The sequence below is a fragment of the Homo sapiens genome, chromosome X (assembly GCF_000001405.40).
Source record: "Homo sapiens chromosome X, GRCh38.p14 Primary Assembly".
NCBI lineage: Eukaryota > Metazoa > Chordata > Mammalia > Primates > Hominidae > Homo > Homo sapiens.
In genome coordinates, this window is record NC_000023.11 from 74,613,922 (window position 1) to 74,638,392 (window position 24,471).

General features: G+C 40.3%; 1 protein-coding gene across 2 annotated transcripts in view, besides 1 other annotated feature; it reads right to left on the reverse strand.

The window, feature by feature from the left end:
- Positions 1-703, reverse strand: part of RLIM (ring finger protein, LIM domain interacting) — a 31,649-nt gene extending 30,946 nt beyond the window's left edge. For both annotated transcript variants that reach the window (NM_016120.4, NM_183353.3), the window contains exon 1: positions 501-703. The gene's annotated coding sequence lies outside the window, so the exon portion shown is untranslated. The remainder of the gene's footprint in view (positions 1-500) is intronic.
- Positions 308-627: an enhancer, noted in NCBI's record as "active region_29767". NCBI's record gives its function as "activates an Ori minimal core promoter by ATAC-STARR-seq in GM12878 lymphoblastoid cells {active_cell/tissue: GM12878}" and the evidence as "EXISTENCE:reporter gene assay evidence [ECO:0000049][PMID:35858748]".

The following is a 24,471-nucleotide window of genomic DNA, read 5'->3' on the forward strand; positions in this document are numbered from 1 at the left end:
AAAATGAGGTTTTGGAAATCTAAAGGCCCAAGAGTTGCCAGCATCTCACTTGGGGCAGCCTGATTTTTTACTTCCCTTTTCCCAAACCCAAGCCCGCCATGGAAAACGCGGGGAGGTCAGGGAAGCCTCCAGAGAACAGAGAAGAAAAAGCCTGAGACGTTCTAAGATTCTGACGCCTGAGGCCAAAACTCAAAAACTGCCTCCCCCGATTTCCTAAGGCTCCGGAGGGCCTGGGCTGCAGCTCGCGCGGCCACCGAGAGGAAGTACTACCCACCTCCTTCCCCTTCAAAGAGCCTGTCGACTATACCACTCAACTAAAATGGCAGCGGCGACTACGCCACGGAGCCCCCCGCAGCAACGGGCCTGGGGTCCGGAGGCGGCGCTGAGCCTCTGCCACGACGCGTCACTCGGGCCATTTTGAGAGAACGCGGCAGCCGCGGCTCCGCTGTCTTCCTCTCGCTCTACATCATTTCTCACAGGATTCCCAAGTCTTCACTTACTAGGTTTTAGGGTCAGGATCCGACTCGGTTGGTTCGGCCGCCGCCGCCGAGGCTGCTCCGCACCTCCCTGGCCGCCGCTCTCAAGCCCGCCTCCAATGAGTAGCTGGTTGAGACCCGCCTCTAGCCCAGCGCCTGCTCGGAGACGTTGCTCAGGCAGCCATTATCTTCCCCATTGTTACCAAGCAGCGACAGGAAACGACTGCCCACAACAGGAAGTGATGATGCCGCGTCCCGGCACCGCAGCCCCACTCCCAGCCTATTAGCCAATCCCAGTCGATTCCTCGAAAAGGCTCCGCGGGAGGAGGAGGGGGACGGCAGACGACGCGGCAAGGCGGGCGGCGGTTTGGAAAAGGAAAGCTGTTATGACGCCCACCATGTGACAGGCCCCACCCTCCTCCGCCATTTTGAATTGTGGCGAGAAATTTGCGTTCTGAGAATTGTGGGAACCTTCGCTTTCCCATTTTGAAAACTGAAGGACGTCACGGTCTGACTGCTTGAAGACATTTTCAGAGAGAGAGAAATGTGATATTAGTCTACCCTGACATCACATCAGTTCACACAATCCGTGCAGACCAGTTCAAAAAGTAGCCTGCGTTTTATTCAACATGTATTTACACAGTGCCAACTGCATGTCAAGCACCATTGTAGCTGCTTAGGAAATTAAAATAGACCAAAATTAAGAAAGAAAACAGGCCACGTTCGGTGGCTCACGCCTGTAATCCCAGCACTTTGGGAAGCCGAAGCGGGCGGATCACCTGAGGTCAGGAGTTCGAGACCAGCCTGGCCAACATGGTGAAACCCAGTCTCTACTAAAAATACGAAAATTAGCCGGGCGTGGTGGCGGGCGCCTGTAATCTCTGCTAATCGGGAGGCTGAGGCAGGAGAATAGCTGAACCCAGGAGGCGAAGATTGCAGTGAGCCGGGATCTCGCCACTGCACTCTAGCCTGGGTGACAGAGCAAGGCTGTGTCTCAAAAAAAAAAAAAAAAAAAAAAAGAAAACAGATCAAAATCCCAGTTCTCTTGAGTCTTTATAGGGGCCAGGGACAATAATTTAGAAAAAATCAAACATAAATACATATCATGTTAGTGATAAATGCCAAGGAGAAAAATCAAGGAAGGGGGACAGAAGAGTTCCTTGTAGGGACAAACGGATTCGTGATGTTTAAAAGACTGATAACTTTGAGGCATTAACTCTAAAGTATTCGAAAAAGGGCGGTGATTGTAAAAGGGTGGGAAAATCTGATAACGTTGGGATTTGTAAAAGGGCAGTTAAAGAAGGCCTTTCTTAGGTAGTAATGCCTGAAAGAATTGAGGGAACTCGCCACACAGCATGCCACTCCCATTGTCACAGTTAAAGGAAAACCTTACCCAAGTTTTTAGATTCTTTTCCTTTTCCCAATTTTTCTGTTTTCCAATAGCATGCCAGCTATGCTGGCTTTGTTACGGTTTTTCCAACAAAGCTAACTTCTTCCTACTTCAACTACTTTACCTTTGCTGGAATATTTTACTTTCATATCTTTGCTTTCATCATCCAAGCCTCGCAATTATTAACTTCCTAGAGAAGCCTTCCCTGACCACCCTACCTAAAATAACTTCTTCCTGAAGGCGGAAAAAGGTCTGAGGAAAAAAAAAAAAAGAAAAAAGTAATAACGACTTCTCCCATCTCCTTACCTGCTTACTTTTCTTGTAAAACACTTAATCTGAAAGTAAGTTATTTATTTGTTTGTTTACTTCACCCTTTCTGAGCAGTAAACCTCTCTGTTTTGTTCACTGTTGTGTCCCCAGCGACCACATAGTAAGCCCTCAAAATACTTTGGGAGAATTACCCCCTCACCATGATGGATGTTATATCAGCCTGGAATATAAGTATTTCACTCCAAGCAGTTAAAACAATATCCCTCATACTTACCTGCCCAACTCCCTAGAAGACTCATTGATATTGTCATTTTTGGCAGAGGGATACATGATTTAGGCGCTGTGTCTCTACTCAGGTTTTTGTCTTATTTTACATAATCATGTACTAGAACGATTACCTAGAACGTGTAAAAGGAATTCTTCAGTAGCCTGCAATTGCCATTAAGCCTGATATTCTGATTATGGCAATAACATTAGCCACTCCTTAACGTATTCTTGAGGCTTATGTGGCTTAATCTAAAATATAAAATCATAAAAGAAGTGGAAGAAAATACAGGTTACTATTTCTGTCCTTTCTTCCTTCCTTCCTTCCTTCCTTCCTTCCTTCCTTCCTTCCTTCCTTCCTTCTTTCTTTCTTTTTTTTTTTTGATGGAGTCTTGCTTTGTTGCCCAGGCTGGAGTCCAGTGGCATGATCTCAGCTCACTGCAACCTCCGTCTCCTGGGTTCAAGCGATTCTCCTACCTCAGCCTCCCCAGTAGCTGGGATTGCAGGCATGCACCACCACGCCTGGCTAATTTTTGTATTTTTAGTAGAGATGAGGTTTCACCATGTTGGGCAGCCTGGTCTCCAACTCCTGACTTCATGATCCGCCTGCCTGGGCCTCCCAAAGTGTTGGGATTACAGGCGTGAGCCACTGTCCAGGCCTAGGTTAATATTTCTATAGCCTTGGGGATGCAGAAGCACTTTTGAAATACAACACAAAATCCATAATGGGAAAGACTAATAAGTACAACTTCATAAATAAAAGTAAACCTTCTAAATGTCAAAATACAAGGTTGGTAAAGTTAAAAGACAAATGATAAATTGAAAAAAATCATTTCATAATGACATATTAGAGCCAAGGGGTAATATCTTTACTTAATAAAAAGACGAAACACTAGCAAAAATGTTACATATGTGATAAACACATATGGCTAATATCAGCCTATAAAGAGTTGTTAAACATTGATTTTTAAAAAGATAAATACCGGCCGGGCGCAGGGGCTCACACCTGTAATCCCAGCACTTTGGGAGGCCAAGGCAGGCGGATCACAAGGTCAGGAGATCAAGACCAGCCTGGCCAATATGGTGAAACCCCGTCTCTACTAAAAAAAATACAAAAATTAGCTGGGCGTGGTGGCGTACTCACTCCTGTAGTCCCAGCTACTTGGGAGGCTGAGGAAAAGGAATTGATTGAACCCGGGAGGCAGAGGTTGGAGTGAGCCGAGATCATGCCACTGCACTCCAGCCTGGGTAACAGCAAGACTGCATCTCAAAAAAAAAAAAAAAAAAAAAAGAGATAAATACCTCCATTTCAAAATGTGCAAGGAACATGAATGGATAATTCATAAAAGGATAAAACACGTGGCTGATAAGCATATGACAATATATTCTTTTTTTCTTGTTAGTAAATAACCTTGTACTTGAAAATATATTCAGCCTCACTAGTAATTAATCAAAAATAAAAACAATGAGGTACAACTATTATGTATCCATAATAATTAAAAAACAATAGCTGGGTTCGGTGGCTCACGCCTGTAATCCCAGCACTTTGGGAGGCTGAGGCGGGTGGATTGCCTGAGGTCAGGAGTTTGAGACCAGCCTGGCCAACATGGTGAAACCCCGTATCTACTAAAACTTCAGAAAAAAAATTAGTTGGGCGTGGTGGTGGGCACCTATAATCCCAGCTACTCGGGAGGCTGAGGCAGGAGAATCGCTTGAACCGGGAGGCAGAGGTTGCAGTGAGCCGAGATTGCGACATTGCACTCCAGCCTGGGCAACAAGAGTGAAACTCTGTCTCAAAAAAACAAAACAGAAAAATTTTATGAACTAAAAAATTTTTTAAAAAGTTCCTTTTTTTGCCTGTTAGAATGTCAAGGATAAAAAATCGATAATATTAATTGTTGATGAAGATCCTATGAAATGGGCACATTTGTATTGCCAGTGGGACAAATTGATATCAGTTTTCTTTTTTTTTTTTTTTTTGAGACAGAGTCTCACTCTGTCACCAGGCTGGAGTGCAGTGGCGCAATGTCGGCTCACCGCAACCTCCACCTCCTGGGTGCAAGCAATTCTCCTGCCTCAGCCCCCCGAGTAGCTGGGATTACAGGCGTGCGCCACCACACCCAGCTAATTTTTGTAGTTTTATTAGAGACGGATTTTCGCCATGTTGGATAGGATGGTCTCGATCTCTTGACCTTGTGATCCGCCCACCTCAGCCTCCCAAAGTGCTGGGATTACAGGCATGAGCCACCACTCCCAGTTTTCTTAAGGCAATTTGGTAATGTGTTTCAAAAGACTCATATTCATAGTATTTGACAAACATGTCCAGGTACAGAAATTTATTTTAAGGAAAGAAGTGGACAAATTTGCAAATATGTATGTAATGAATGTGCAAAGATGCTAATTACAGTGTGGTTTATAACATCGAAATATTGACAAATCAGAAAAAATAACCATCCAACAACAATTAGTTATAGTATAACCACATAATAGACTACCATGTAGCATTAAAAATAAGTACCTAGAGCTGGAAATACGTTCAGGTTACTTTTTTTTTTTTTTTTTTTGAGACGGAGTCTCACTCTGTCACCCAGGCTGGAGTGCAGTGGCACAATCTCGGCTAACTGCAACCTCCACCTCCTGGTTTCAAGCGATTCTCCTGCCTCAGCCTCCTGAGTAGCTGGGACTACAGGCTCGTGCCACCACGCCCAGCTAATTTTTGTATTTTGAGTAGAGACGAGGTTTCACCATGTTGGCCTGGCTGGTCTCCAGCTTTTGACCTCGAGTGATCCACCCACCTCTGCCTCCCAAAGTGCTGGGATTCCAGGCATGAGCCACCGTGTCCGGCCTCAGGTTACGTTTTTAATGAAAAAAGCGATTTACAATACAGCTTGTGTGACTCCATTTTTATTTAAAAGATATGTATAAATATGCCTAGAAAAAAGCCTAGATGAGCATACATTTTTAGTCACTTTTATGTTCTTTTTTTTTTTTTTTTTGAGATGGAGTCTCACTCTGTCACCCAGGCTGGAGGGCAGTGGCATGATCTCGACTCACTGCAACCTCTGCCTCCCGGGTTCAAGCGATTCTCATGCCTCAGCCTCCTGAGTAGCTGGGATTACAGGCGCCCGCCACCATGCCCGACTAATTTTTGTATTTTTAGTAGAGATGGGGGTTTCACCATGTTGGCCAGGCTGGTCTTGAACTCCTGACCTCAGGTGATCCACCTGCTTCGGCCTCCCAAAGTGCTGGGATTACAGGCATAAGCCACCGCTCAGGGACCATTTTTATGTTCTTTACCCCTTTCAGTATTGTCTTCAACATTTTACAATGTGCATTATTACTTGGTATTGGAAAGGGGTAGAACCTTTTTTATTTTGAAAGAAAAATCTGCCTGAATTTGAAGACTACATATCTCCCTTACCACTTATTCTTTCCATGCTTCAAATATACTTTCTTTCTTTTCCTTTTCCACATATTCATTCGTGTTCTTTTATAAGCATGGAGCTACTTTACTTACAATATCAAGGAAAGTACTTCTCAAAACAATTTATCTCATGGTAGCATTCAGTGCCACTCTAGAACCTACCAAAGCAACTACTAAACACTTGTTTGGTTTCTATTTAGCCTAATTGCATTTCCCTCCCATGTTGTTTGGTTGGTTTGTTTGTTTGTTTTGAGACGGAGTCTCGCTCTGTCGCCCAGGCTGAGGTGCAATGGTGCAATCTGAGCTAACTGCAACTGTGCTTCCCAGGTTCAAGCGATTCTCCTGCCTCAGCCTCCTGAGTAGCTGGGATTACAGGCACCCACCACTCCTGGATAATTTTTGTGTTTTTAGTAGATGCGGGGTTTCGCCATGTTGGCCAGGCTGGTCTCCAATTCCTGACCTCAGGTGATCGGCCCGCCTCGACCTCCCAAATTGTTGGGATTACAGGTGTGAGCCACAGCACCTAACCCCATATTCTTTTTATGTATGTGTGACCTTCAAATGATTTTTACCCATTCTTGGTCAAGTGTCCCTTAACAGGAAAAAAAGAAAAGATCTTCCCAATCTTCCTTCTGTTCATTTTAACAAAATGTATTGATAATCTGCTACCTTCTGGTCGCTGGGGACATACCACCATCAGTACACCATACACTAGAAGACCCTTCCCTATGGCAAGAAAGACATTGAAAAGATACTTTTAAATGTAATGAACATTACAAAGGAGACATAAGGGTACAATGGCAAGTATGTAAAAGGAACATTTAACCAGAAGAAGCTGCCATTTTTTTAGCTGAGATCTGAAGACGGAATGATGGTTCCGGATGAGAGGAAGATGAGAGATGAACCCTGGGAGAGGGAATAACTTGTACAAATTCCATGGGATGAGAGAAGGGAAACTGGGGAACTGAAAGAATAGCTTAGTTTCTCTAGCAAATATTCTATTTTATTTTCTCTATAGCACTCATCAGAAAGGAATTTGTCTTGTTATTTGTTCATTTTGTTTGTTGATTGTATTTATATGTTTATAGTCTATCAGTGTTTCTGCTGGCCCGCCCCCACTTCTGGCCAGCGTAAGCTCCGTGAGAACTGAGGCTTTGCCCCACCCCCTCTCAGCAGTATTTTCCCAGCCTAAAATACCTAAAAGGCACTCAATCAATATTTCTTCAACTAATCAACGAATTAGCTTGTAGTTCATATTAGACATTTTGGATCTTATCCTAAGAGCAATGAGAAGTTGTTAAAGGGTTTTTAAAAGAAAACCCATATGATCTGATTCGATTGTTTTTTAAAATAAAAAAAGATCTTCTTGGCTGCTATGTGTTTGAAACTGTTTTACTTTATAGTCAATACGGTCACTGTTTTAAGATTACAATACTTCTTTAAGAAACTCGACTTTTTTTTTTTTTTTTTTTTTTTTTTTTTAGATGGAGTCTTGCTCTATCACCCAGGCTGGAGTGCATTGGCACCATCTCGGCTCACCACAACCTCCAGGTTCAAGCCAGGTTCAAGCCATTCTCCTGCTTTAGCTTCCTGAGTAGCTGGCATTACAGGTGCGTGCCACCACGCCCGGCTAATTTTTGTATTTTGAGTAGAGACGGGGTTTCGCCATGTTGGCCAGGCTGGTCTCGAACTCCTGACCTCAGATGATCCACCTGCCTCGGCCTCCCAAAGTTCTGGGATTACAGGCATGAGCCACTGCGCCCGGCCAACTCGACTTTTTTTAAAGACACCCGCAAAATATTTATTTAGTTTAAGTATTGCCTCTAATGGCTAGGGAGCTTTTTAAATCTTTTGAATAAGAATCACTGGGAAAACAATTTAACAAGAAAACCAATGTCTTTCTCTTAGTGCTTCCATTTTGCCAAAGTTTGCACCTTTAGGAGTTCACAATAAAATTCAAGATATGAATGGATTATAAGCGTTTGCTTCAGTTTGCCCTGAGGAGGGGAATAGCAAGATGGAAAGAGACAAGTGAAAGATAATCAGTGATTTATTAATTTATTCATTCAGTTAAGTCACCCATTCAATAGATACTTATTTTGTCCCAATACTCTGTGCTAGGCTCTGGAGTTGTGATGTCTGCCCTGAACATGCTCACAAACCAGGAGAACAGTGGCATCCTAGTAGGATGTAATTTCATCTAGTCATTTTGTAAACGTATGTGAAAGCTAAAGTTGATGTGTTGCTTTCATTGCAGGGGCCCAGGTATCACTCTTTAGGAAGTCACTTTAGGAGGTTTGTACTTGTTGAATGTCAGAGATCTTAAAAATAAATCAATGTTTAAAGAATATAGCATGCAAATCTTAAGAATAAAGCCCTTTTATTCCTTAACATCTGTAGAAGGTATTTTGAACCCAAAAGCCTTAAAACAGCATCGTATATATTCATTTTATGGTAGTAGAAAAGATTACAGTTGCCTTTGTTTCTAGCAGCACAATGTCTTGTTTATATTGGCATTGTTGTTGAAAACCTTCTAGTTTCTCTAAAGCTCAATGTATCTCTTTGAAAAGGTATATTATGATGCATATTATTCCTCCCACAAATGCCCTGTAACTTAATTAACTGAGGTTATTTCCCATTAAAGTATATTCTAGAAATAGGAAATGTTATCGCAAATATTCAAATATAGTAGAAATAAAATATGTAGCCATACCTGGTTAATTATGTTAGTATCGGGGAACTCGAAGCAGATTTACTGTCATGTCTTTTTTTCCTCCAGCTCTTAAAGCGGTAGTGAAAGGCTTGTCTTTACATTCTGTGCTTTCTGGGAATATAAAAGTAACTTGCCCAGTGAAGCAATATCAAGTGCCTTACATATCCAAACATAAATGTTTCAGATGCACTGGTTTAGAAAGCACAGGGTAGTTTTCCAACTCATGCCAAAGCAACTAGAAAGTAAGCTTTCTAGAACAAATTAAGAGGAGTATAATAGGGAGAAGACAAAAGGCTTGGATTTAGATAATATATACTCACTTTATCTCCAATTTGTAATACATTTTAATAAATAGGTTCCTTGCCATTTAATTATTTAAATTGTGAAGAATAAAAGGTTTACAGTAGACTAGGTTGATTATGCACTGCCTCTGACACCAAACAACTGCACACCAAGTTTCTCTTTGCCAAAGACAAGGTGACTCCATCCCTGCTTCTTATCTTGATTCTCCTCAGTCACCATAAAAAACTCAAGTCCATCTGGTCCCACACCCACCTAAACTTCCATTTTCATAGAGGTCAGCTTCCACTTTCATCTCCACTTACATTGTTCCTTACCCTCTCACCAATTTCCACTGAGCCCTCTGGAACAGTGCATTCAATACTAATACATTCTCCAGCTTTCTTAGTCCCTTGGTAGAGAGCTTCTCCTTCTCAGCACTTTGACTGAAAAGTGCCAGCTTCCAAAAAACTTCCTCTCCCCCAAGAACTCATCTGGTGCTTAATTAAAATATAGATTCCAGGCCCCATTCTAGGATTCTGATTTAGACATTTTTGGGTGGAATTCAGGCATCTTCATTTTAAATAAACTCCCCAGAAAATTCAGATGCAGGCTATCTGCAGAGAAGTGTTTGGAAGATGGATATACTTAAATCAATAATAGCTACCATTTATCATGGCCCTACTATGTGCCAGAAATAGGCACACTATCTCATTTACTTCTCACCAATAAACCTTGTAAGATGTTATGAACATTTTATAGGTGAGGAAAATGAAGCCTAAAGCAGTGAGAAACAACAGGAAAAAACAAAATTTATCTGCGATCACACAACTAGTAAATAAAGGAGATAGGTTTGGACTCTAAGTGCATGCTGCATGTAACAACCCAGGTCTCCTAGCTCCTAACCAGGTCTCAAATGAATCATAAATCTAAAAAATGTTTTCTTAAAGATTATTTAATAGATGAAGTGGCTCTGCTGGCAATTTCTTTCCTCAGAAGTTCTATCTGTATACCTTATACTAATGATCTTGAATGGGCATGGTTTTTTGTTTGTTTGATTGCTTTGGTGTTTTTTTTTTTTTTTTTTTTTTTTTTTTGAGACAGAGTCTTGCTTGCCCACCACCACGTCCCGCTAATTTTTCTATTTTTAGTAGAGATGGGGTTTCACTGTGTTGGCCAGTCTGGTCTCAAACTCCTGACTTCAGGTGATCCTCCCGCCTTGGCCTCCCAAAGTGCTGGGATTACAGGTATGAGCCACCACTCCCGGCTGGCATAGTCTTTTCAAATATAAGTTCTCTCTCCTTCTTCCTTTCTCCCTTCCACCTCTTGCCCCTCTTCCTCTCTCTCTCCTTATGGCAGAAATCGGCCAAAGTCACCTATTTATTTGGCTAGGTTCATTACTTTTTTCTTTTTGGCAAAACAAGAGCACTTGGAAATATTTAGAAAAAGGATGCAGTGTCTGACTTCGGGAAAGCACTGGCAGTGCTGCACTACATATTTTCAAGCACTCTAGATAATCCAGCTGTGAGAAAATGGCTATCAGTCTTCTACAACTCTTAGTTCAAGGATAAAATATGCTATTTAAAAATACACCTTACTACCTACATAAATGGTAATAAGTAGTTAATAAAAATAGTATTTATTGTACATTTAAAATGTGTCAGCCTCTGTACTAAGTATCTTACTTAAGGCTCGCGATAAACCTGTGGCATAAGTATTATTATACCCATATTACAGCTGGGAAAATTAAAGTTTAAAGTAACTTTAGCAATGTAATACAGCTAGTAAGTGGAAGACCCAGGGATTCAAACTGAGTCTGTCTGACTTTAGAGTTCAGACCATGTGTTTAAGTACTTTATCTACTTCTACAAACCAGCCTCTCAGGAAAATAGCACACCTTAGACAGAAAAAGAACTGCAAGTGGCTTATTAAAGAGACACACCCACGTGACCCAGAATAGGCAGTGGAATTGAGTATTTTTACTTTAGATGCTTTTGTATTCCCCACAGAGCACTGGGCCAACAGATGCATTTGTTTCTCAAATGTTAAGTGCCTATCTCCCTTATAGCCCTTTCAAATTTATAGTGGCTGACCTGCATTGGTCTGATCACTGAACAGAGAAAAAGAAATACTTCATGCTCCTTTTCACTCAATGCACTATCTTCTCCATCATGGTCTCTCAGTTACTCCCATACTGGAAGGCACACTTGCACTTTTGAAGGAAGGATTATTGCTTGAATCTGCCTGACTTTGAACACCTAAAAAGTCTTCTTTTTAGATAGAATTCAGTCTATTTTTCAAAGAGCAAAGAGTGAGGAGTTTCTCTGACTCAGAATGCCACAGTCCTGGATTACTGTTCAGTTTTTTTAAAATCTTCTACAAAAAGATACACAGTAATAAAAATATCATCATAGTAAGGCACATAACTAAATCTCCTACTCTTTTCTTTGGTCTAGAACTTGATTCAGCAAGAAGCCTAGAGTCATAAATAGAACATCAGACTTAGGCAGCAGCATAGATAGATTGGTCATTTTCCATTCATGTGGAATTGAAATTGTACTGCTTGACATACTGCCCACTGAACAAATGCATTATAAGCCAATACAAAACGAGGTGGGGGACCTAAGAGACACCAATATAGTTAATATTAGCTCTGACCCTAAACAAATTTGTCAGATAGACAAAACCTATTTTGGTTGTCTTTTCAGCATCCCTCCCCCAACTAGACTTTCAAGCATCTACCCCAGGAATCTCATTGTCAGTGTTTACCCAACTTTAATTATTCTTAGCTATGTTTAAGACTTTTGTTATATCTTGTTCTTGATTTTTAGAAAAGGACTTACCTATTAAAATGTAAATATATTAATTAAAGTGATATTTTATATCACTATTACAAATGGAAAACCAGTATCACTTGCCATAAATGGATGATAGTCAAAAAATCAATACATAATTATTAAAATACAGAATGTTTGGCCTGGGCGCAGTGGCTCTCGCCTGTAATCCCAGCACTTTGTGAGGCCGAGATGGATGGATCATGCGGCAGGAGATCGAGACCATCCTGACTAACATGGTGAAACCCTGTCTCTACTAAAAATACAAAAAATTAGCCGGGCATGGTGGTGGGCGCCTGTAGTCCCAGCTACTCGGGAAGCGGAGACAGGAGAATGGTGTGAACCCAGGAGGTGGAGCTTGCAGTGAGCCGAGATCGCACCATTGCACTCCAGCCTGGGCAACAGAGGAAAATTACAGAATGTTCATCTGAATATTACCGAAGACGTGCTGAATAACAAGCAAGGAAAACTCTTTTGGATTGACTTTCCTGGCCTGGAACTCATTCCTGTCCAGAAGTTACTACATTATGTTTCTTCCTTCCCTTCCAAAGTAAGCTAGTTCTGTAGTTTTTCCTCTTAGGGTTTAAGTCTCCTTAGTGGCCTAGTTGAAAGTGTTCATTAGCACAGATTGGATAAACCAATTTCCAGTTTAGGAGAGAAGATTGGAGGAGACTCCAGGTAATACATATGGGTTTTAACTCTTGCATGCTTGAGATACTTGCTGCCTTTTGTTCTTGAAACCAGTGACCTCTAAAGCTCCAAATCACTGGTACCAGAGCAAGTCTGATTCAGTAGGTCTGGGGTGGAGTCAAGATATCTGTATTTAAAAAAATAGTAATTTGAATGTGCAACCTGTTTGGGAACTTTGGTATAACCTAAAGGGAGGCCTTCTGGGAGCCATAGCAGTTTGGCAGGGAAGACATTTTTTGGTGGGAGTGCTTGATAACAAATCACACTCTAGGCAGTTACACATTGTAGGCAAGGTTAGTTCTGTGAACTTGAGTGCCTAGAGAAGAACTTAATTGGGAGCAAACATGATATACTATTATTATTTTAAGAGAATGTCAAAGAAGTAGTGCTAGATACAGGAATGAATAGATAGTGGGGCGGGGATAGAAACTCAAATCATACACAAATATTCCAAGTACATATCTGATAAAGATGGCATTTCAAATCAACTGAATAATAGATTACTTTTTAATCAGTGATGTTGAGGCAATTAATTAACGTTGAACAACAAAAGTCCAAAAATAGTATCCATACGGATAAAGCCATGTTATGTAAAAAATGTCCTGGGTGCAGTGGCTGATACCTATAATTTCAGCACTTTGGGAGCCTAGGTAGGAGGATCACTTGAACCAGGGAGTTACAGACCAGCCTAGGCAAAAAGGCGAGACCCTCTGTCTCTACAATTTTTTTTTAAACAACTTTGTTGGTCTTGATGGTGTATGCCTGTAGTCTTAGCTATTTCAGAGGCTGAGGCAGGAGGACTGCTTGAGCCCAGGAGTTCAAGGCTGCAGTGAGCTATGATCGTGCCACTGCACTCCAGCCTGAGTGACAGAGCCAGACTATGTCTCTTTTAAAAAAACCTCCTCCTGACACAAACAAATGGAAGAAAATTCCATGCTCATGGATAGGAAGAATCAATATCATGAAAATGGCCATGCCACCCAAAGTAATTTATAGATCCAATGCCATCCCCATCAAGCTACCAATGACTTTCTTCACAGAATTGGAAACAACTACTTTAAAGTTCATATGGAACCAAAAAAGAGCCCGCATTGCCAAGTCAGTCCTAAGCAAAAAGAACAAAGCTGGAGGCGTCACACTACCTGACTTCAAACTATTCTACAAGGCTACAGCAACCAAAACAGCATGGTACTGGTACCAAAACAGAGATGTAGATCAATGGAACAGAACAGAGACCTCAGAAGTAACACCACACATCTACAACCATCTGATCTTTGACAAACCTGAAAAAAATGTGCATGTCAAAATGTACAAATATTATATATCAATACAAATAAAATAAAATAAATGTGTATGCCCTTTTTCTTAGGAATTCTACGTTTGGGAACTTATCTTGAAAAATAATCACATAAATGCACAAAGCTGTGTAGATAAGACTGCTCATCAAAACATTGTTGTTAATAATAATGCAAAACCAGAAACAATCTAAATATTCAAAAGTTCAGTATTGTTTACATAACTTATGGCACAATTGTATAGTGAAATGTATTACAGAAATGAAATATGACTAAGCCTGCCTATATTTATTGATTATTTATCGATATGGAAAGATATTTATGATATGTTGTAATATGACAATATAGATTACCAAATATAGTATGCTCCTATTTTAAGTATGTATAATAATACATATGAAGAGAAAAAAGTCTGAACAGATATTCACCAAAATATTAATAGTGTTTATCTCTGAATCATGTGGTTAAAGGTAACATTCATTTTTCTAAATATTTTTTGCCATTTTCTGAAAAAATTACAAGCATGAATTATTTTTATAATCATAAGCAATAAAAACATTTATATTTTTTGTGTTTGTACAGAGGTCAATAAAAATTTAAAAAGCCATTTCTAGTTTTGTTCATACCTTTAGCTTAGCAGTTCCAATTTTAGGAATTTTTCCTAAAGAAAGAATCAGGGATATGCACATGCACAAAAATAACACTAAAGGAGTTTTCATTGTGGAGCTATTTATAATAGCAAAAAGCTGCAACACCCTAACATTCTTCAATAATTACGTGTTTGTGTGTGTGTGTGTGTGTGTGTGTGTGTGTGTGAGTGTGTATGTGTGTATGAGATGGAGTCTTCTTCTGTTGCCCAGGTTGGAGTGCAGTGGTGCTAACATGGCTCATTGCAGCCTCGACCTCCCCGGCTGAAGCAATCCTCGCACCTCAGCCTCCCAAGTAGCTGGGACAACAGGCACCCACAACCATGCCAGGCTAATTTTTTAATTTTTTTGTGGAGACAGAGTCTCTCTCTGTTGCTCAGGCTGATCTGGAACTCCTAGGCTCAAGCTATCCTCCCTCCTCGGCTTCCCAAAGTGCTGGGATTACAGGTATGAGCCACAATGCGCCCAGCTCTGTTTTTCAAAGATTTTAAAAACCACCTTAACCATTTTTAAGTGAACAGTTTGGTAGTATTAAGTATATTCACATTGTTGTGTATTAGAGCATTTGTTAATAAATTGTCACATATTTTATGATTAAATATTATAGTATCATTAAATATTTTATAAGTTTAATGACATGGAAAATGTTTATGACACATTGTCAAATGAAAAAGTCAGTTTGTAAAATAGTATGAGTCCAATTTCGTTTTAAAGACATTTTATGAACATAGAAAAAACAAGTCTGAAGGATGTATATTTAAACGTTAATACAGTATATATTTCTGGGCACTGGCATTGCAGGTGATTATTTTCCAAAGTTTTTGTAAGAAACATGCATTACTTTTGTACTCACGAGAAAAAAAAAGTGTTACAAAAGACAGAGAGGCTTTTATCTCTAGAGTAATCAATTTTTGTTCATCTTCCTATGCATCACAAATTGTCCATCAGACCATAACTATCATGTGGGCAGAGATTAGGTGTTTTTTTTTTAATTTCCCCTGGTACTTCCTGCCACATAGTGTTCTGCATTCAATAAATGTTGACTAACTGCATTCGTGCATATGCATACGTATAAGCCTATGTACCTATGTGGGCATGCATATTTAAATATACCAACTGCTTTCTCATCAGTAATGAGAAAAAAAATGAAAGGCAGGGTTTTGAAAAGTGCCATGGGCCTTTTGCCATATGTTGAGAAAGGAACAGTGCTCTGTACTTGCCAAGGCTAAGGGTACAGAGTAATCATTAAATATTTGGGGTCATACCAATCAAGTTTGTCCATTTCAGCCGAAGCAATTATTTTCTTGGGTTGTCTCCTTTGGGTGAGATTGGGTCCACCTTTTTTGTGGTTCTACTAATTAGCCTGTCTGGGCACTCTACTGAAAATGTTTAAACAAAAAGTCCCATACCACTGCAACTGGGCTATGTGCTGTCTCTGCCTACTCTGGGCTCCTTGTCACAGTCAGTGTCAAATCAGCTGCAGTAACAAGAACCTTTTTCCGTTGGGAGTCTGGCAAGCAGGACAGGTTAGCAGGTCTTTAGTCACATTTCATTTGTCAACTCCAGAACTCTATACTCTGATCAAAACCGAGATTGGAGTACAAAGTTTGTACTTCAGAATATCAGCAGGTGCCCAAGGGAGAATGAGTGTTAAAATCCCTCAAATCACTAAATTATTAAAAAGCACTTGAACAGGCTCTTCAGAATCAGACAGCAGAGCTCAAAGATTTACACATTTGATAACTGAAATAGGAGGACAGGATAAAGACTCAATTTGAGCCCTTGATGATTTGATTTTTTTAAATAGTTATGGTTGTGAAAGGAAGGCATGAAAAGTGGAAGATATTTTAAAGGCAGATTATGGCTTATCCTTAATTATAGCTGCAGCTGAGCTGAGGAGTTGGGTTGGGGCTTAATCATGACTCTGGCCTCCCCTCAGAGACACAGCAGGTAACTGGGTAAGGCTTCTTTTGCTTCCTTAAAGCCTCTGATAGAGAATTATTGATTCTGAAATCTCCTGTAGGAAATTTCCACACAATAAAGTGGGGAGTTTAGAAATCTGGGCAGATTGACCAACTGTGAATTTATACTGCCTCATTATGTTAACCCATTGGAGGCTGTATCTGGGGACACGCTAATGCCACTATCTTCTTACATATTTATTGAGCTGTTGAGGTATAAAATGTCACCATTAAAATCCAAAGCGCTGTGCAGCAAACCTTGGCTTAGTATTCCCTTTGCTCATCAGCAAACCCTGTTAATCTTCCACACCAAAATCCTGGCAGCAGGATCCCCAATATCAGCAAAGATTTAATGGCATAGAGCACTAGTGAGGTCTTTTGTGACTCAAATTTATTCCTTTATCAAATTAACCAGAAAGTGTTGTTTGTAAATAATTAAAACTCTTAAAAACCCTAATCTACTTTGAGGCCCCTCAACCACATCAGATCTTACATTGGGAATGCTATCTGCTAAAAATCCTATACTTTGCATTTTCTAGGGAGATGCAGGGGCTACCCTAGTTATGAAGGAAATGTGCAGACTAGCACAAGAGTAAGTGAGAATTCTAGGATTTCTAAGCAATACAGTTACTAAAAAACAACTTTCCTGGTCCAAAAGCTGGTGGCTCCACTTATACCCTTGTCCTGTGAATTTCCTATGCTATTGGTGAAGACTGTGCCCTTATGGAATATACTCAGAGCCTCTAATCTATTGACTTTATCCTCCATCTCACCCTGGCATATTAGGCACTAAATATATATTCATTTGTTAGATGAATGAATATTTGAATCAAGAAAGATGGTCTTTTTCAGTGCCTGCTAGTGTTAAGCTGAGTACTATATAAGTGAGTTTTCCAAATGTAGTCCATCTTAAAATGTGTGGCCAACTATAGAGACTAGATCCTTGAATAAGGGATTGTCTAGAAATGACCACTGAGCATCTGAGCATCTACCCAAGCACCTTGCCATGTTTATTATTGTTCCTTACTTGTAAATAAAAATGATAAATTACCCATGAAGGAAGAATACTTCCTTACTTTTATTTTCTGATCTACATAAAACTTCAAAGTAAAAGGAATTATATTATTTCTCATTCTGCATATTGCACTTAGTGGAGTAGACACAAAATGATCATTTAAGGGATAAGTCAGGTAAATGATGGTCAGGATTGCTAGAGACATGGAAATGTCATATGGACCAGAGCTTTTAAATTGACCTGGAAAACTTACAGTGTTTTCTGCTTTTTAAGATTTCAGAGATGCAAACTCCCTCAATTATTTGGCCCAGTGTAAAATTCTTTCTTACATCTAAGTTCCAAAACTCATGGGCTCAAGAGGCAGGGACTGTAGTCCCAGCTCCACAAATATATGACTCTAGATTCAAAATAGTTTCTATATCTAAACACAGAAGTGGCAAAGATAGATAAATCATGAAAAAGAAAGGAATCTTCACTCTGAAATTCGGCAGTGTTAGCTCTTTCTAGGATATTAGTTCTAGATATTTTCTTTAGCAGCTCAGCTTGTAGGCTAAGCCACTAACATAGCCACTCTTTGTTCCTTATCCTATGACCTTTTTGAAGAGTTAGACATTTGGCTTTTGTAGTTCTTGAAATCTATACATTGGCTACTTTTATTGCCTTCTGGATGAATTTTTTTTTTTGAGATGGAGACTCACTCTGTTGCCCAGGCTGGAGTGCAGTGGCACGATCTTGGCTTACTGCAACCTCTGCCTCCTGGGTTCAAGCAGTTCTGAACTCCTGACCTTGTGATCCACCCGCCTCAGCCTCCCGAAGTGCTGGGATTACAGGCATGAACCACCGCGCCTGGCTGGATGAATTATTTTATATTCTGGTATTTTATTTTTGCATTATTATTGGTCTGAGCTATGCCCATCCCTTGTTTAGTTATTCCTTTCCATCCCCATGTTCAATAGCTATTTCCTTTTCTCACTCCATATACAGCTATTCTAATGTGTTTAATGTATATCTTTTAATTTTTAGGTACTCTTGCAAACTAAGTATCTTGGATGCATATTTTTCAGTGTATGTAAATGGCATCGTGTTGTATTTCTCATTTCTCCCCAGTACTGTGTTTAAAAGCTTCATCCATGTTGCTATGTTCATATGTCCAATCTAGCTCATTGCTTTCTTCTGCTGCATGGTACTCCACAATATGCATCCACTCTCCCAGCATCTCCAACTTTCCACCACCACAAACCATGCTGCAGTGAACATACCTGTACCTGAATTCATGGGAGAATTTCTCTGGGATACCGACTCAGGAACAAAATTGCTGGGGCATGGGGCATGACTCAAGTTTAACTGTCTGCTTTCAGTTAGTTCTCTGGAATAATAGTACAAATCTACACTTTCACCTGCATGAGAGTTCCTATATTTCCAGTCTCCACCAGCACTTGGCCCTTGCTTTCTAAATTTTGTCAATTTATCTCTTCTGACCTTGGTTCTGTAAAAATAAAAAAAAAAATTTGTCAGCTTAATAGATACAAAGTTATATTTCATTGTTTCTTAAAAATTTACATTTCTGTGATTAGGGATGAGTTGAACATCTCTACATATGCTTACCAGTCTTTTGTGTTTGCTTTTATGTAAATTGCCTATCGATATAATTTGCCCATTTTTCCTACTGAAGTTGCTGAGTTTTTGCTATTGTTAATTTTCCAGAGTTCTTATATATTTTAGGTATCAATTCTTTGTCAGTTTTAGACATTGAAAATATTTTCTTCAATTTTTTTTTTTTTTGAGACAGTGTTTTGCCCTGTCACCCAGGCTGGAGTGCAATGGCACAATCTCAGCTCACTGCAACCTCTGCCTCCTGGGTTCACATGATTCTCCTGCCTCAGCCTCCCAAGTAGCTGGGATTACAGGCACACGCTACTGCACCCGGCTAATTTTTCTTTCTTTCTTTCTTTTTTTTTTTTGTATCTTTAGTAGAGATGGAGTTTCACCATATTTGCCAGGCTAGTCTCAAATTTCTGATCTCATGATCAGCCTGCCTCGGCCTCCCAAAGTGCTGGGATTACAGGCATGAGCCACCGTGCCCATTTTCTTCAATTTTATCATCTTCCTAGTAATGTTCTCTGTTGAATAGAAATCCTTAATTTTAACATATTCAAATGAATCAAAGATTTGCCTTACAATTTCACTTTTGCGATCTTGTTTAAAAAGTTCTTCCCCCAATTCACTCTCCACTCCCAGCTCACAAATTTTTTTTTCTCCATCTCTTATTAAAGTTATAGTATTACTGTTATGGTTTAAATGTGTCCCCAAAGTTCATGTGTTGGAAACTTAATTCCCAGTGCAGCAGTGTTGGTAGGTGGGACCGTTTAGAAGTGATTAGGACATGAAGGCTCTATCCTTGTGAATGGATTCATGTTATCGTGAGAGTGAGCTCATATTGCAAGAGTGAGTTTGTTAAAAAAGCAAGTTTGTCCTCCTCTTCTGCTTGTTCTCTCTCTTCTCTCTTGCATAAGCGTGCTCTCTTTCTCTTCCACCTTCTGCCATGGGATGATGCAGCAAGAAGGCCCTCACCAGATGGGGGCCCATTGACCTTGGACTTCATACATCCAGAACTGTAAGAAAGAATTCTCTGTGCTTTATAAATTACCCAGTTTTAGGTATTCTGTTACAGCAGCACAAAGCAGTTACCTTTCACTTTTAGTTTTCTAATCCATGTGTTGTCCATGTTTGTATGTAATTTTTTCTTAGGAACTTAGCTTTTATTTTAAAATATTTTTTATTCATTGTAATAGTACAGGGTACACTTGATAATTTAATATATTCATATAATTTATAAACATAAAATCAGTGTACTTGGGAGAGCCATCACCTTAAATATTTGTCTTTCCTTTATGTTAAAAACATCTGAATTATTCTCTTCTAGCTATTTTGAAATGTACAATAGATTATTGTAAACTATAGTCACTCTACTGATCTATTGAACACTAAATCTTATTCCTTCTATCTAACTGTATATTTGTACCCATTAATCAACTTCTCTTCACCTCTGTGGTTACCAGAGGAACCAGGAACCACCAGGTTAACCAGAAACCTGGAACCACTTCTGGTAACCACCAATCTACTCTCTATCTTCACGAGATCCACTTTTTTACCCCCCACATATGAATAAGAGCATGCAATATTTGTCTTTCTGTGCTTGGCTTATTTCACTTAACATAATGACTTCCAGTTCCATCTATGTTGCTGCAAGTGACAGGATTTCATCTTTTTATGGCTAAACGATATTCCATTGTGTACATATACCGCATTTTCTTTATCCATTCATCTGTTTATAGGCACTTTGTTTGATTCCATATTTTAGCTCTTGTGAATAGTGCTGCAATAAAGAGGGGAGTACAGATGTCTCTTCAATATATTTGATTTCCTTTCTTTTGGATATATACCCAGTAGTGGAATTGCTGGATCATATGGCAGTTCTATTTTTAGTTTTTTTGAGGAACACCCATACTGTTCTTCATAGTAGCTGTACTAATTTATATTCCCAGCAACAGTGTACCAGTGTTTCCCTTCCTCCACATCCTTACCTGCATCTGCTACCGCATGTCTTTTTGATAAAAGCCATTTTTAACTGTGGTGAGATGATATCTCACTGTGGTTTTGACTTATATTTCCCTGATTATTAGAGACATTAAGCATTTTTTCATATATCTGTTGGCCATTTGCACGTCTTCTTTTCAGAAATGGCTATTCAGATCTTTTGAGCATTTCAGATTGTATTATTATTATTATTTTTGGCTATAGAGTTGTTTGAGCTTCTTGTATATTCCAGTTATTAATCCCTTGTCAATTTTGTTTTCTTCATATTGTACAAATCAATTTTATATGCATTAATTAAGCTGCTATATACCCATGAGAGGGTATAAATAATACATATTTTATACATATGTACACACATATATATAAAGTTTGATAAGTTTTGACATATGCTTGAGGTTGAGCTTTTTGGAAAAAAAAGTTTTGACATATGTATACTTCCATAAAATCTCTAAATCAAGATAAGGAATATATCCATCACTCCAAAGTTTCCTCATACTGTTGTTTAATTCCTGCCTCACAACCCTCTTTAATTTCCAACCCCCATCTCCACATCCCCTGTCCATAGGCAACTACTGTCAAAATTTTAGATTATTTTACATTTTTGAGAGTTTTATATAAATGGAATCAAACATTATGTACTGTTTTCCTGGCTTGTTTTGCTCAGCATAATTACTTTGAGATTCATCTATGTTTCAGTGTGTAAAAATAGTCTGTTCCTTTTTATTCGTAAGTAGTATTCCATTATATACATATATCACATTTTGTTAATCCATGAATCTGTTAACAGACATTTGGATTGTTTTTACTTTCTGGCTATTATTAATAATGCTGCTATAAATCTTTATGTATATGTCTTTATATAAACATATGTTTCCTGTTCCCTTAGGTAAAAATCTAGGAGTGAAATGGTTGGATCATATGGTAGATATATGTTTTACCTTTCTAAGAAACTACCAAACTGTTTTCCAAAATGATTATACCAGTTCACATTTCCACTAGCAGCATGTAAGAGTTCTAGATGCTCCACATCCTTACCAGCACTTAATATGATCATTTTTTGTTTTAGCTATTTATTTATGTATTGGATTTAAATGGTGTGTTAGTTTTCCATTGTTGTATAGGGATTAGTGACTTAAAACAAAAATTTATCGGGGCCGGGCGCGGTAGCTCACGCCTGTAATCCCAGCACTTTGGGAGGCCGAGGCGGGCGGATCATGAGGTCAGGAGATCGAGACCATCCTGGCTAATACGGTGAGACTCTGTCTCTGCTAAAATAAATACAAAAAATTAGCTGGGCGTTGTGGCGGGCGCCTGTAGTCCTAGCTAATCTGGAGGCTGAGGCAGGAGAATGGCGTGAACCCGGGAGGCGGAGCTTGCAGTGAGCCGAGATTGCGCCACTGCACTCCAGCCTGGGTGACAGAGCGAGACTCCATCTCAAAAAAAAAAAAAAAAAAAAATTATCTTACACTTCTGGAAATCAGAAGTACAAAATGAGAGAATCAGGGATCATCATGGCAGACAGGAGGCAGGACTAGATTGCAGCTCCAACTTGGATGGACAGAGCAGTGTGCGGAGGCTTGCATCGTGAATTTTAGCTCTAGAATGACTCCAAGAACAAACCAGGAATCCCAAGAGGACCCACAGACCCTATGAAAGAAGCAGACTGCTCCTGCAGGACCTGGGAGACACCCTAAATACTGTGAGTGCCCAAACTGCAGAAATGGGAATGGGAGATCCTCTGCTCCAGAACATACAACCCTACTGGAGAAACTGAAGGTCTAGTTTGTGCGAGAAGTTTCTGACCTTACCTGGAGCTGAGTCAATTTAGAGAGCCAAGTGAAATATGAGGGTAGAGGAAGCAGTGGGAAAGGCCCTGAAAGCTTGCGGGTCTCCAAGCAGACCATTCCTGCCTGGAATCACAGGGATCCTTCAGGAGGGTGGCCAGAGGCGCGGAGAAACGCCACAGGGAGAAGGAAGTCTCCAGCTGAAATTTGCAACAATTTGAACTGAGCGAGAAGCCTCCTGGCCAGAACTCGGGGGAGGGAGTGAATCCCGTGTGCAGACTCCACAGGCAGGGGAAGAACCAAAGCCTCTTTCTTTCACAGCTGGTAGGCGGGTATCCTGGGGCAAGTCCTTAAGCCCTGCTCGCCCACTGCCTGGAAACAGACTTGGTGCTGTTGGGGGGGCACGGTGGGAGTGAGACAGGCCCTTCAGATTGCGTGGGAGCTGGGTGAGGCCTGTGACTGCTGGCTTTCCCCCACTTCCCAGACAACCTGTATGACTCAGAAGAGGTACACATAATCCTCCTAGCTACACAATGCCATTGACCTGGGAACCTCACCCCCATCCCCAACAGCAGCTGCAGCAAAACACGCCCAAGGAGAGTCAGAGCTCAGAAACGCCTAGCCCTGGACCCACCTGATGGTCCTTCCCTACCTACCCTGGTAGCTGAAGACAAAGGGCATATACTCTTGGGAGTTCTAGGGCTCCACTCAACACTGGTTCCACTCCATACTGCCATAGCTGATGCTCTCTGGAAAGCGACACCCCCCAGCAGGAGGTCAACCAGCACAAAAATAGAACATTAAACCATCAAAGCTAAGAACCCTCACAGAGTTCATTTCACCCCATTGCCACCTCCACTGGAACAGCCGCTGGTACCCATGGCTGAGAGACCCATAGACAGTTCCCATCACAGGACTCTGTGCAGACAACCCCCCAGTACCAGCCTGGAGTCTGGTAGACCTGCTGGGTGGCTAGACCCAGAAGAGAGGTAACAATCACCACAGCGTGGCTCTCAGAAAGTCACATCCATAGGCAAAGGAGGAGAGTACTACATCAAGGGAACAGCCCGTGGGAAAAAAGAATCTGAACAACAGCCTTCAGCCCCAGATCTTCCCTCTGACAGAGCCTACCCAAATGAGAAAGAACCAGAAAATCAACTCTGGTAATATGACAAGGCAAGGCTCTTTAACAAACCCCCAAAATCACACTAGCTCACCAGCAATGGATCCAAACCAAGAAGAAATCCCTGATTTACCTGAAAAAGAATTCAGGAGGTTAGATATTAAGCTAATCAGGGAGGCACCAAAGAAAGGCAAAGCCCAATGCAAGGAAATCCAAAAAACAATACAAGAAGTGAAGGGAGAAATATTCAAGGAAATAGAGAGCATAAAGAAAAAAAACAATAAAAACTTCAGGAAACATTGGACACACTTATAGAAATGCAAAATGCTCTGGAAAATCTCAGCAATAGAAGTGAACAAGTAGAAGAAAGAAATTCAGAACTCGAAGACAAGGTCTTTGAATTAACCCAATCCAATAAAAACAAAGAAAAAAGAATAAGAAAATACGAACAAAGCCTCCAAGAAGTCTGGGATTGTGTTAAACGACCAAACCTAAGAATAATCGGTGTTCCTGAGGAAGAAGAGAAATTTAAAAGTTTGGAAACATATTTGGGGGAATAATTGAGGAAAACTTCCCTAGCCTTGCTAAAGACCTAGACATCCAAATACACGAAGCACAAAGAACACCTCTAGGCACATTGTCATCAGGTTATCTAAAGGCAAGACAAAGGGCAGAATCTTAAGAGCTGTGAGACAAAAGCACCAGGTAG